Raw genomic sequence first — 12,812 nt, 5'->3', positions numbered from 1 at the left:
GAAAATAGCAGAACTAACCAAGATTTTAAAAAATATGTGAATAGTGGAATGTTTATAAAATTTTACTGAAAGTAAAAACACGTAAGAAAATGCCATGGGGGAAAGCCATTGAACTATTTCTATAAGATTACTTAACAGGAAAATTATCTTCACTATACACATCCTTAAATTCATAACAAATTTTATTTAAGCTTATTTAACTTATGTCAAAAGTTAAAATTTTATCATGAATAGTCATATAACTTTATAAGCTTAATTCCAAAAGCCAGCTATTTATCAGGCTGTGGTTTCAGATTGCTGAATATTTTTATATTTTTCTAAAAGAAAGAAATTCTGATTTACTTATCTAATTATGTAACGTGAAGATACAAATAAAGCTCCGGGGCATATCACTTATATGGGCAAGTTCTCAAAAAGTGAACCAGATACAAGCTCCTCAGTTAGTTTTAAAGGTCTTTCATGGCAGGGTCAGGGTCTTAGGCTTCTAAATAGTCTGTGCAGTTCATTAATAGCCTGGCACTTTTGTTGATTAGACACATGATTGTAAAAATCTGCCTGACTGTTGGCATTCCAATATTACCTCTAATCTCAATACAACTTGTAAGATGGATTCTCTTTCTTTTATATTATGAACTGTGGGCAGTTCAAATAGCAATGAAGTAATGTGAAGTAGCAATGAAGTAATAATATGAGTTAAGCAGTATGGGAGCTATGTACATAGAGCTTCATAATCATCCTTTAGACAGTAAGAAGTTCTTTGGGTTTTTTCATTGTATTTACAGACCTGATGCCACTCAGAATAATTATAATAATTTAAACAGATTTATATAGCCAAACTGTCTTAGATTTGTGACTTGGAGGAAGGAATGAAGACATTCAAAATATGATCTATGCCCATTCCCAATTATTCAAAGAATAGAGTAATTCAGTCTTCAGGAGTTACTCAGAGAATGACTCAGAATGACAAACAGATAACCTAAAGATTCAATCTAAGGAAACCTTCCATTATTTAAATTCTCCCACTCTCTCTTTCTCTTTCTGTCTCTATCTTACACACACATACACACACTCACACACACCCACATGCACACTCTTGCTTTCTAGTTTTCTTCAATCATTCAGAAATATTATTCTGAAGGATCTTCCTGACAACCCCTTTAGTTCATACTCTATACTTCAATAGTAAGTTTATTTCATTGTTTCTAAGATTTTTTTGAAAGTTATTCCAGGTTAAATTTTCCTTGATCTAAATATCTATCAGAACCTTACAGACAGTGAGAATCTCTCAAGCATGCACTTGCTTATATTTAACCAGATAATCTCTTTTCAGCTGAAGAAATACAAAGTTTTCAATATTTTATTTTTTTGTACATAACCTTACAATGTCCCATTATTTGAAAGTCAGGATATTAAAAATAGTCTTTCTTTTTAAAGTAACATATTTTGTTTGCAGAATATTATATTTATATATAGTAAATTTAGAAAATATAAAAAAGATTTTAGAAAAGAGAGCCTTTTGCAATCTCACCACTCTAAAAGCCTATTAGAAATTATTTTAAGCTATTCTCCAAAATGGGATCACTTTTAGTAACTCTTAAAATGCTTTGTGAATAAATGAATGTATGTCAATTCACTTATATATTTGTAAAATTATCAAAATAAGTCAAGTTCTGAAGGTAGATTAAATAAAGGACCATTTGATTGTGAAATGTATAATTCACATTTAACAGGCTTCCACATTGCAGAGGGTGGTAATGAGACTCAGTCTATCAGGTTAGTACATTTGGATTGACAATTTAGTTCCAAATTAGAATCCTGATTGCCAGTAATCTCAGGCAAATGAACCTTAGAGAAAACAACATTATCTTATTTGAGGTTCTACCTAATCTCTCTGGGAAATTTTTCAATGAACTTAGTTTTCAGTATATGACTACTTCATAACTTTATAATATACTAACATTGACCTTATTAAAATATTTGTAATCATAGAGCTTTGAAACAGTAGGAGATAGAGCCTGAGATCTAAGAGAAAAGGTTAGTTATATGTGTTTTTATTTAAAACATTTCTTAATGTATTCCCATTATGTGAAACTTCCCCCAAAAAGTCATAGGTTACATGAGTCATACAGTAAAGAGCTGAATTTATGTTCCTTATCATTTATTTCATGAATCAGTCAGAAATTAATTTTACCAAAAACAAGAATGTTCAACAGATGCTACTGTGTGATAAGAGTCTACTTCTCAAATTAATTATCATGAACACTGAAAGTGCTTCAGGAATACAACTGCCTAGTTCTATAATTTCCTGGCTACTGATAAAAATTTTCAATGTATTTTATTAGGAAAAGTAATACATTAATATATTTTAAAGTAAAATATGGTTTTTACTGTCTTGCATATTGCAATTCAAGTCACAACTGCTGGTTTCTCATGCAAGTCAGTCACCCAAGGTAATATAATGTGATTGATGTAATCAGAATGGTTTGCTTATAAGGATGACATGTCCTCTTGAGAATTTAAGCTTTGGTGAAATATGTTGGCAGTAAGCACTTCCCTTACAGATAAAACTTTTTCTTTAAAAACATTCTAACTGTATAAATTTCTAGTTGAAAAATAGAAAAGTTGAAAAGTTTTTCTATTTAGAAAGTTTTTTTCTTTCTAATGCCAAGTTTAAATGTATTATCTAAAGTTTTTGCAATTGTAGCTCAAATAATAAACCATTCTTTAAATTTCACTGTAAACTAAAAATATGATACTTTCATTAAGGAAAGCAACCTATCCTCAAAAAGTATGCATTCTAAATCTATTCTTATAATTTACAATACTAAAATGCAATATCTGAATGATCTGAAGTTTATAATGCTTGTGAAATAAATTGTAAGTTATGGGACAGGGAAAATTAATGAGTCCTCAATAAAACTTCAGATTTTTCCAAAAGCATGCTCTGGAAAATCCTGTATTTGCTTTTGTGACATAATTTAGTGAAGTACCAATGAAGTAATGATATGAGTTAACTAGTATCTAATACACATGGCCAGACATATTTTATCCTACAAATTTGCTTTTGCAATATTCTATAAATACCTTTTTTCTTTCTACGCATTATTGTAATGAAGCACCAAAACCAAAATTACATGCACATTTCCAAATGCTAAGGGTGAAATACAATATACAACTTTACACAATTCGTTTTAATCAGAGGATGAACACAGTTCCATGGAAAAGATCTTTCACTGTTCACATGTTCATCTGTTTCTCCTTATGCTTCATAAAGCAATCATTCTGTGAAGCACTCTTCTTTCTGCATGGTTCTAAAGCTAATAAATTAGCACAATTAATCAGTTATACAGCTCTTGACACAAAGGAGGAAAAAATACACAAGTATATATTACCTGTCTTATACTAACAAAGCATTTTAAAATGAAACCTGAATAAATTGATTCACTGCCTAGAATTCTATGGTATTTGCACAATCAAACTGTTTATCTGGAAAAATTATTATATATGACAAAAGCAAAGGAGAGTTATCAACTTTATTTATTGGATATATTTTTATCATTTCAAAAGGAAAACATACAAAACTAAAAGCAAATTTAAGACATATCAACTACATCTTTTCTTTATTTTGATGTCTATGTTTCCTCTTTTAAATATGCCCCATTTGAGCTTAATAATGATTTCATGCTTAATGCATTTTTAGTCATTCTTTCAACATAGCTAGTAATTACCAACATCTCTAACGGTTAACAACAGTAATTTTATCATTTAGGAGCTCATAATTAATCCGCACTGCAGCCTTGAACTTGTGGCCTCAGCCTTCCAAAATGCTACTAGGATTACAAGAGCATGCCACCATGCCCTAATTTCACATTCATAACCTGCCAAAATTAAAGTTATTGGGATGTATTTTTATATTTTTAATTACATGGAGATGGAAATTTCAGATCATCAAGAGAGAGAGGGTCACAGGATCCTTAGAGTGTCGCTTCACCAACTGGAAACCTCTAGAGCTGGTGGCACCTCTGCTTGAGTTTTACTCACACTGGCTGGCTTGTTCAGCCCACTCAGCCCAGCAGGCTGCACTTGGTTCATGCTTCTGGCCCGGATCCCATGCCTGCTAAAGGGCAAGCCAGGCACGGAGGGGCAAAAGGTGTGTAAGCAAGCAAGCACAGGTCTGGCCACTGTGCTCAGCCAGGAATTCTCATTTCTGTAGCGGGGGGGCAGCTTCAGGCACCAGCACAGGTGCCAGCTCTGTGCAAGGCTGTGGCTGGACCACACGTACAATAAGCAGCTTCTGCTGCGGGCACCAGCATCTTGACAAAGAGAATGCAGTGACACTCAAAAGCTTGGAGACACCAGGAACCCCAGAGCCCCAAAGAGGGTGTTACAGCATGGCACATTCCTGGCTTGGGGAGCCCTGAGTTCTGGGATCCCAGCAGGGTGACAGCTCTTCCCTCCTCAACCCTTGCAGCATGGCAAGAGTTGGGGCATGTTTCAGCCCATTTGTCTAACAGCTTTTTCAGTCCCACCACCCCACTCTGGCCCACACCTCCTGGGCTGGCCTGGCCCCACTGTTGCTTCCCATTGTGTGGGCCAGTCGCCTGGTGCCAGCAAAGAGCAAGAGGGATACAGTTTTACAGCAGCTCTGCCTGGGAAATGCTAAGGTCTGGGCCGCCAGAAGGGTTGCCACTCTTCACTCCCACAGTCTGGGAGCATGTCACCATCTGCAGTTTAGCCAGCTGGCCAGGAACATGATACAGCTCCTTTTGCTCCCATCATTCAGCGGGTCCCAAGTTCTTGTCCCATGTCCAGGAAGAATGAGGTTACACAGACAACTGGAGGATAAGCAAGGTGGAGAAGAGCTTTATTGGATGGCCAAACAGCTATCAGAGGAGAGAAGACCCAAAGTGGATAGCTCCTATCTACAGGCAGTTAATCACAAGGAGCGTAGAGGAGACCTGAAGTACACAGCTCACATCCTCAGGCAGGTAGTCCCAATGAGTGCCTGAGTTGGCTGAGTCTGGGGTTTTTATGGGCTCAGAATAGAGGAAGTACATGCTGATTGGTCCATGGGCAAGAGACAGTGCATGCTGATTGGTCCATGGGTGGCCATGGGCAGGACTAAAATAAGCACCATTTAATCAGCCAAAAGTCTTAAGGAAGTTCTCACTCCAGATTGCTGACTCCACCCAGAACTGGCAGTTCAGCCCCCAGGCTTCAGAACATCTTTGGCTTTAAGGTGGGGGTTCACCAGGGACCCACCCCTTCCCCCCCAAGGGACCTGTCTGCCTCCTGCCTGCCATCAACATACTGTCTGTGGTGCCCATGCTGTCCACACTGAGAGGTGCCTGCAGGCCTATGCTGAGCCACTCTCAGCCCCCTGGCCTCCCTTTTGGGCTCACTGGAGCCCAAAGTTTGGAGGAGACCGACGTAGCAAGGGCTGGTGTGTCAGTGCTGCCTCAAGTGCATACACACCCAGCCAGGTCACACCAGCACCCAGGCTTGGCCACAGCTTTGCTCTGCACCAGGATGGGTGCCAGGAGAGGTCAGGGAGGAGTAGGCACTTCTGAGCTTGTGGGAGCAGGGAGCTTCCTGGGCTCCTGAGAGTGCAGGGATGCCCAGGTCCAGAGCTGTGTCTGGGCAGCTGCAGCTGCACCCAGGAGCAAGGGGCTCCCACCCCACCAACTCGGTAGGGTATGGGGCTCCTACTTGAATCACCTGTTCCCAGCCCAGTTCCCAGAGCATGCAGCCCTGGCCATGCCTCCCCTGCTACTGCTGGCATCCTCACAGCAGCTGCTCCAGATGGGCTGCTACCACCATCAAGAGGACAAACAATGAAAATATTCCCCTGTCTCTTTGTCCCTCCTTAAATCCAAGTCCAAGCAATATTCAGCTATTACCTTGGTAATCCCAGCCCCCACATGGTCAACAATTTAATTGACTGTGTTTTCCCTTCCCCAGTGAACATTAAGCTCCATGAAGGCAGAGACCCTATCTGTATATAGTGCCTCTTTATACCAAGGCTAATATTAGCTTATTCAGTATTAGGAATCAGTTGGCATAGGCTTATAAAATTATACCTAATTATATAAAAATTCCAAAGCTTATTTGCTGGGGATTTATTGCTCTTTCTCACTAAGGTAGCATAATTTTCCATCAAATGAAACAAAACAAGAATAATCTGTATGAAACTGGCCTAGAATAAAAGGTTAGGTGGTCACATTTTAATATATATAGTTTGTTAAAGATTATTTATTAGTAAATAAATCCCATGTACTATTTGGACAACTTTGAAATGTATTCTGTTATCAAAATATACAATGCTTTAGTCATATTATGAACAGGATCCTTTAGCAGAGTCCTAGCAACAATCTCTACTTTGTCTTCATAATTTTAACAATCTGTTAGATATTGCTGGAAAGAAATTAAGTTTTATTTTTATCTTTCTGAGTTTAAAATAAAACATTTTCTTTAACATTACATTTTTCTTTTGCGGCTGAAGTCTTTGTATAAATGGCTTAACTGTACCTGGAATTTTTACATACATAGTAAAAATAACTTTTCTCTCTCTTCTTTAACTGCAAATTATACATTTGCTAAGGGAAAACTGCAAAGGTATTCCAATTTAGTTTCAAATATTTCAAGAAATTTATAGTATGCTCTGAAATAGTGTAGATGATACTGAATAGACATGAGTTAAAATTACACAGATTAGAATTAGCAGAAGTGGAATTCAAACCTACCTCTCTGTAATTGTGCCCCTAACCATTATATTCATCTATTGGCAGAGCTTGGGATTTCAGAAAAGTCAGAGCAGACAGTGAAAAAGTCAACCAGAATATTGAAACAATTTATAAATATGCTTCATTGGAGGAGGGGAAGGGTTATCTTTCAATGATGGCAGACAAGATGGACTGTAATGATCTAACGTTAGAAAAGTCAATGAAAAATTATCTAATCACACATTTATAGAACACCTAAAATATGTGAGTACTGCTCACATATTCTGAGGAAACAACGGTGCAGAAAAAAGATCCTTTCCTCATGGATCTTGCATGTTAATGAACTTTAATAATCTGGAAAAATTCAGTGTAAATGCATATAGTTGGTTATCAATTCATACTTTTAATAATTATTTATGGTTCTAAACATTCCATTTTGACATCATGACTTTTTGACCTTATACATATTCATCAAAGTCTTTAAAATCTAATTTCAGTTTCAAAGAAAACTTTTTTTAATTGATGCAACTTGGAAGAATATGTAGAACAATAATGAAAAACTCAAAATAACTTTAAGAGATGGAGTTTCACTACGTTGTTCTGGCTGGAGGGTAGTAGTTATTCACAGCACAATTATTGCACACTACAGCCTGGAACTTCTGACTGAAGGGATCTCCTGCCTCAGCCTCCCAAATAACTGGGACTATAGAACATGCCACTGTGCCTGGCTCTCCAGAAGAACTTTTAAGAAAGACTGTGCATTCATTAAGTATATTATCTTAAAATATAAAACATGCAGAATAAATCCTCTATAATTTGTTAAGTTATAAGATGAATAAGTTCTGAAGATCTAATGTGAAGCATGGGGACTATAGTTAATAACACTCGATTACATAATTGAAACTCACTAAAAGAATATATCTTACATGTTCTCACCACTTAAAAGAAAATGAAAAGTTTTTTAAAAGGTTAAAAATATTTTAAAAAGAAAGAAAGTTTTCATAATGAATTTAGACTTGCTTTAAATGAACACAAATGTTCCAGGTCAAGAGTTATGACACGGAAATATTAACCTAACCAGTAATGTCAATATGTGTAAGTGTAAGAATAAGTGGAAAAGGGAAATTTTTCTAGGAATCTGATATTGTTTGGCTGTGTCACCACCCAAATTTCATCTTGATTTGTAACTCCCACAATTCCCACATGTCATGAGAGGAACCTAGTGGTGTGAAAACAGACTAATACTGTAAATTGGTACCAGTAGAGTGGGGCACTGCTGAAACAATACCCAAAAATGTGGAAGCAACTTTGGAACTGGGTAACAGCAGAGGTTGGGATAGTTTGGGGGGTTCAGAAGAAGACAGGAAAATGTGGGAAAGTTTGCAACTCCCAAGAGACTTGTTGAATGACTTTGGCCAAAATGCTGATAATGATATGGATAATGAAATCCATGCTTAGGTGTCTCAGATAGAGATGGGTAACTTGTTGGGAACTGGAGCAAAGGTGACTCTTATAATGTTTTAGCAAAGAGACTGGCAGCATTTTGCCCCTGCCATAGAGATTTGTGGAACTTTGAACTTCACAGACATGATTTAGGGTTTCTGGCAGAATAAATTTCTAAGCAGCAAAGCACTCAATATGTGACTTGGGTGCTGTTAAAGGCATTCAGTTTTATAAGGAAAACAGAGCATAAAAGTTCAGAAAATTTGCAGCCTGAAAATGTGATAGAAAAGAAAATACCATTTCTGAAGAAAAATTCCAGCCAGCTGCAGAAATTTGCATAAGTAATGAGGAGCCAAATGTTAATCCCCAAGACAATGAAAAAAATGTCTTCAGGGCATGTCAGAGGTCTTCATGGCAGCCCCTCCCATCACAGCCCCAGAGGCCTAGAAGGAAAAGACGGTTTCATGGGCCAGGCCCAGGGTCCCCATGCTGTGTGTACTGCATCCCAGCCACTCCAGCTATGGCTGAGAGGTGCCAACAGGGGCCAATGTAGAGCCTGGGTTGTGGCTTCAGTTGGTGCAAGCCCCAAGCCTTGGCAGCTTCCATGTGGTGTTGAGCCTGTGAGTGCACAGAAATCAATAACTGAGGTTTAGAAACCTCTACCTAGATTTCAGAAGATGTATGGAAACACCTGGATGCCCTGGCAGAAGTTTTGCTATAGGGGTGGGGCCCTCATGGAGAACCTCTGCTAGGGCAGTGCAGAAGGGAAATGTAGGGCTGGAGCCCCCACACAGAGTACCTACTGAGGCAGTGCCTAGTGGAGCTGTGAGAAGAGGGCCAACACCATCCTCCAGACCCCAGAATGGTAGATCCACTGACAGCTTGCACCATTCAGCTTAAGAAACCTCTGACACTCAAGGCCAGCCTGTGAAAGCAGCCAAGAGGGAAGCTGTACCCTGCAAAGCCACAGGTGTGAAGCTGACCAAGACCATGGGAATCCACCTCTTGCATCAGCATGACCTGTATGTGAGACATGGAGTCAAAGATCATTTTGGAGCATTAAGATTTGACTGTCCCACTGGATTCTGGACTTGCATAGGGCCTGTAGCCCCTTTGTTTTAGCCGATTATTTCTACTTGGAATGGGTGTTCTTTCCCAATACCTGTATCCTCATTGTATCTAGGAAGTAACTGACTTGCCCTTGATTTTACAGGCTTCTAGGTGGAAGGGACTTGCCTTGTCTCAGATGAGACTTTGGACTGTGGACTTTTGAGTTAATGTTGAAATGAGTTAAGAATTTTGGGGACTGGTGACAAGGCATGATTGGTTTTGAAATGTGAGGAAATGAGATTTGGGAGTGGCCAGGGGTGGAATGATATGGTTTGTCTGTGTCCCCACCCAAATCCCTTCTTGAATTGTAACTCCCACAATTCCCATGTGTTATGGAAGGAACCCAGTGGGAGGTAACTGAATCATGGGGGCAGGTCTATCCCATGCTGTTCTCATGATAGTGAATAAGTCTCATGAGATCTGATGGTTATAAAAATGGGAGTTTCCCTACACAAGCTCTGTCTCTTTGTCTGCTGCCATCCATGTAAGATGTGACTTGCTCCTCTTTGTCTTCCACCGTGATTGTGTTGCTTGCCCAGCCACATGTAATGGTAAATCCATTAAAACTCTTTCTTTTGTAAATTGCCCAGTCTTCAATGTATCTTTTTCAGTAGTGTGAAAACAGACTAATACAGAGTCTTTAAAAGGGCAGGTCAAATAACAAAAACTTATCAAAATATCTTTCATAGTATTTTGCTATTATAACTATGGGCATACTATATGCCCATCCACCCATTCATCCATCCATCCATTAGGCAGATATTTATTAAGCATCTTCTACATGCAAAGCACTATTTTAGGACCTGAGGATATATAGGTGAGATACATAGGTCACTTTCTTTCTATTGGATCTGAATATGTAAACAAATAAACATGTAATTACAGATTATGTTAAGTGACATGAGAGAGATAAATAAGGTGATGAGATAGAGAGTAACTGGAGGAATGTATATGCAAATATTTGTTAACTAAGGGCTAAAACTGTGGAAGTTGTAGATGTTAAACTTGTATGATTCAATTTCTTCTGTCTCGTAGCAAAGATAATCCTGAAGTTTATGTTTTATTTTCTGAAACACATTAACTTATTTTTTATCTAGAAATCTTAGTCCTGTTTAGAGAAAAACATCATGTAAACCCAATTTCTCAAAATGTTGTGGAGAATAGTTTTATCTTCTTATTGGTTTCCTCATTAATTAATGAGTTGAATAAAATCTTTGACACATTTTTAAATAATTACAAGTAATACACATGATAATGAATCAACCACATAAACCAAGAACTACAACTATTTCTCCTAATGAATCATGCAGCATTACTTTTTTGAATGAATTTGACCAAAAGATAGCACAGTACAAAGAGGAAAAAGACTTGTAAATACAGTTAATCAAGAAATCAATCATGTAATTTAGCTAATTGTACAGAACAATTATTTGAGTTGTTAAATATTAGCACTTTGTAATGAATTTTGGGACTTCTGTGGTTTCTTAGATAGATAAATGAAAGAAAATAATTACTTGAACTTTCATGTAACATCAGAAGGAAAAGATGGCTTTGGTTAAATAAAACTATCCTAAGAGCAATAAATTATTGTATCTGAGAATACATAAGATTTCATGCTTTTGATTTGTATTTCTTCAATTTCATAGACTATTTAAAATAACCTCTTAAAATCACTGATAAAATTACTGTGGTAATTAATTTTTAAGTCATTGTTTATTGGAGTAAATGCAATTGCTATTTAAATTGGCATCACTCCTGCAGTTACAGAACTTTGTTTAAAAGCAAAATATTATAACATTATTTATTAATAAGGTTAGAAGGCAGAGATTGTACTAATTAATTTATTTTTCATTTCCCCCACCATGAGTGCTTCAATACATCTATCTTTAAAACAAACATTTTTCTTTTGGCTGCATTTTGAGGTAGCCAGGTATATACACTTAAGGCCCTTCTCAATGCCATAAATTCAGAGAAAGTTTTGGGGAGAAAATGGAATCTCCTGAGATAATACACCATACATCCTTTGAAAACCTTCAGAAAAATAAACGTGCCTTATCCATTCTATAATATAGGTTTTGTTGTATTTTTTGTGTTAAAAACAACAAAAAAAGTTGTAGGGCTTCATCATTAAGCTATGTTAAAATTATATTATTATTGATGTGTTCTCTCAGAAGTAGTATACTAAGGGAAACAAATAAAACAAATATAGATAGTGTATTTTCTGACCCCAAAGCTCATATTATTTTCATTGTACATGGCAACATGCATCAACATTGTATTTCCCCCCTTACAATAAATTTTCTCATTACCTACCATCGTCAGACCTGTTATCTAAGGCTTGTCATCATTCACACTTAAGATATTGAATTAATGCAATACACCAAACAATTCTGTCTGTGATTCTGTTCTTGCTATACACAGCTAGATGATTAGCCCTATATCATGCTGGAGTATACTTTATACCTTGAAATTTATGGTAGAAAACTTGATTGAATGAGGCAATGGTCTTAATGATACTTCCTTAATGAACTGACCATTGAGCAAATACAAATATTATTTGTGAATAACAAGTGATCAGTGACTTTGCAATATTCTATTAAGTACCCAGAGACAGAGTGGATCAAAATGAATAAAAATAATGTAAGCAGCTCCTGAGAAGTATCTAGTGATTTTCTTTTTTGGAGTATGGACATATTGGCTTAGCAAAAATGGTTGACTATTCTTTCTGCCACTGGAAACACCAGGTGAGCAGTAATGGACTTCTTCCATCAGAATAGTCTTTCTGTGACCAGGGCAAGTTTGTTCCCTAGAAAGACTTCCCCACAATGAGTTTATCTAAATCTTGTTTATTATTTAAAAATCATTATATGTCCCTCCCCTAACTTTCTTTCTATCTGCAATTGCAATGTTATCTATTACTTGAACTCTATGAAATTGTTGAATATTAGACACTTTTACCTCAAAATAGCAATTTTCTATGGTTCAACCAAATATATTTCCAGTGAACTCACCAGCTGTAATCCATTACAGATAATGTTCAAGATGTCTGTTTGAGATTCATTCAAAAGATCTAAGATTATTTTGGAAAGCTATTAACCATACAACAACAAAATAAATTTCTAGTGTGTGTGTGTGTGTGTGTGTGTGTGGTGTCATTCTCACAGCATGTAAAATATTGTTAAAAGTAGGAAGAAGAAGACCACTACCATTTATAGAATATCTGTTAAGTGCCACACCCCAGGTTGGGACATTACCCAATTTCTTCTGTTTTAGCTTAATGACCAGATTTTCATATTATTGCACCTATTATAGAGGCAAAATATGCTTACAATTAGAATCACTAGATTAAGGCCACTCAGACTACAGACAGTATAGCCAGATTTCATTCTCTGGTCCATCTGTCTCCAAATCTTCTGTTATTTCTAACACACTCACTGTGTTTTGTGTCACAATTTTGATATTATTTTTATACATAAAATTTCCCAAGCTCAATTAAAAAGGGGCTTTTTTAGATACTTATTTTGCATATAGCACCAG

At 36.8% G+C, this 12,812-nt stretch overlaps 1 long non-coding RNA gene across 6 annotated transcripts in view; it reads right to left on the bottom strand.

Moving 5' to 3' along the window:
• Window positions 1–2,035: 2,035 nt before the first annotated feature.
• Window positions 2,036–12,812, bottom strand: part of LINC02718 (long intergenic non-protein coding RNA 2718) — a 376,384-nt gene continuing 365,607 nt past the window's right edge. For 4 of the 6 annotated variants that reach the window (NR_187205.1, NR_187209.1, NR_187206.1 and 1 more), the window contains one exon: window positions 2,036–4,835. This is a non-coding gene — a long non-coding RNA (long intergenic non-protein coding RNA 2718). The remainder of the gene's footprint in view (window positions 4,836–12,812) is intronic. The other 2 variants (NR_187208.1, NR_187207.1) reach the window with 1 other exon arrangement.

This window comes from Homo sapiens, chromosome 11 (assembly GCF_000001405.40).
Source record: "Homo sapiens chromosome 11, GRCh38.p14 Primary Assembly".
Classification (NCBI taxonomy): Eukaryota; Metazoa; Chordata; class Mammalia; order Primates; family Hominidae; genus Homo; species Homo sapiens.
This window is presented reverse-complemented; position numbering and strand designations above follow the sequence as displayed.